The following is a 1,846-nucleotide window of genomic DNA, read 5'->3' as shown; positions in this document are numbered from 1 at the left end:
TCCAGCTTAGCTTGATAGCCTTGGGGTCAGAGTTCTAGGTTCTAGGTATGATGTCAGTAAACTAAAACCCATTTTTCAAACAAGGGGTTAGCTATCATGTCTTTAAAGATTTGTTCAGCTTAAACATTTTATGACCTCTGATACTTTTTTTTCCACTTTGGCCCGTGGGTCAGACACTAGGGTCACCTAACGGTTTCCAGGAATACAAGAAAAGAGTCATTTATCTTAAGGTTTGCGCTATTTCATAATGCTGCAATTAGTGTGCTAAAGTGTAGTTTAATGACTGAGTTTGAATCTAGGTTTAGAGAGAGCTGTGCCACTTACTATCTGTGGGAATGTAAGCGACTTACTTATCTTCTCTAAGACTGTTTTATAAAATACTTAAAATGCCAAATAAGCTTGTTGAGAGAATAGAAGATAAATGTAAGAAATGGTGCACATATAGAAAATTCTTAAGTGGTAGCTATTAATGTGATTGCTAGTATTGCTATCCCGAGGATTTGCCAGACATTAAATACATTAAATATAAAGATGATGGGAAATACAAAGTGATCAATCCCTAACAGAGATGGGCAGAAATCAACTTTGTCAACAGCTATCTCCCTGAGCCCTGTCAGTGCTGCTGTAAAAGTGAAATCAGTCACAGTGGAGTAAATGTGACCTGGACAGAGTTCTGATTGGCTGTGACCCATCAACTGCTGAGACCCTGTTGGCAGCCTTAGCATGCTCACTTCCTGAGCTTGAGCCTAGAACCCAGTCTCTCACAGCTTAAGGTTCTAATGCATAAACTGTGGACAGGATTATACAACTTAAATGAGAGACAGACAGTGAGAGAGAGAGACTCCCAAAACCCAACATGAGGTCTGGCATAGTCTGCCTCTAAATCCGCATACTTTTCATCTTGCTCTGCATGGAGTCTGACCTCTTCAGATTGCATCCATCTGGCTTCCCTGCTGAGTGCGAAAAAAGCGAATGACTAGAGAGCACTCATCTCAGGCTTTCACTGGGGAAGTCTCAGTCAGGAGATGGAATCCACTCGGGTTCCTCATTTCTCACTTAATTCTAGAGCAATACACAGAGGTCTAGCAAAGTCGGGAGTTGTTATGAGAGCCCAATGACAGCTAAGGGAATTTAAGTTGCATGATCCAAGAAGCACAGATCCCTCTCTAGCTATGATGAGGGGCTGCACAATTGCAGTAGAGTGTGGCAAACACTTTGACTTTGGCCTTTTTCTGTCAGTTGAGTGTGTGAGTGTATGGGGGAACTACTATCTCTGGGGGTCCAAGACCCAGAGGAATGTTGCACAGGAACGTTGCACAGGATTGACGTTCCTAAGAACTGGGCGATGGCCAATTTCCCAAGGAACGTTGAAGGACGCCAGCTTTTATTTTTTCTTCTTCTTTTTTTTTTTTAATTGGTGATCAGCCCCCAGGTTTCAATCTTGGACAAGTTAACACCTCTCACATGCCAACTTCTGATTGGGTTTAGACACTGGGAGATGGCAGCAGGAGATTGGAAAATGGATAGGCAGGAAGGAAAGGGCATTTTCTCCCACCTCCCCCATCCTGACTTGGCCAGGCCCCAGCCGGCTTGGTCTACGTGGCCCTATTCTATAGCTGCATTCTATTCTGGTAGCAGCCCCATTCTCTCACCCCTTACAGGTTGAGGGTTGCTGGCTCTGGCATGTTTCACTGCCTCATGCTTAGCTGAGCCCACACATGTGTGAGCAGTTCTGCTATCGATCTTCCCTCAGCTCTTCGGACTGTACCATCTGTTTCTAGCTGCAGCCCTGCCTGGTGCAATATGGAAAGATATCTATTTGTTTAAGATGTAGATCTTGTTCATT

The 1,846-nt window shown here is 43.9% G+C and overlaps 1 annotated feature.

The window, feature by feature from the left end:
• Positions 631-1,208: an enhancer, noted in NCBI's record as "NANOG hESC enhancer chr2:108691321-108691898 (GRCh37/hg19 assembly coordinates)". NCBI's record gives its function as "activates a minimal SCP1, AML or CMV promoter by ChIP-STARR-seq in primed H9 embryonic stem cells {active_cell/tissue: H9 hESC(primed)}" and the evidence as "EXISTENCE:reporter gene assay evidence [ECO:0000049][PMID:30033119]".

Source organism: Homo sapiens, chromosome 2 (assembly GCF_000001405.40).
Source record: "Homo sapiens chromosome 2, GRCh38.p14 Primary Assembly".
NCBI classification, from domain to species: domain Eukaryota; kingdom Metazoa; phylum Chordata; class Mammalia; order Primates; family Hominidae; genus Homo; species Homo sapiens.
This window is presented reverse-complemented; position numbering and strand designations above follow the sequence as displayed.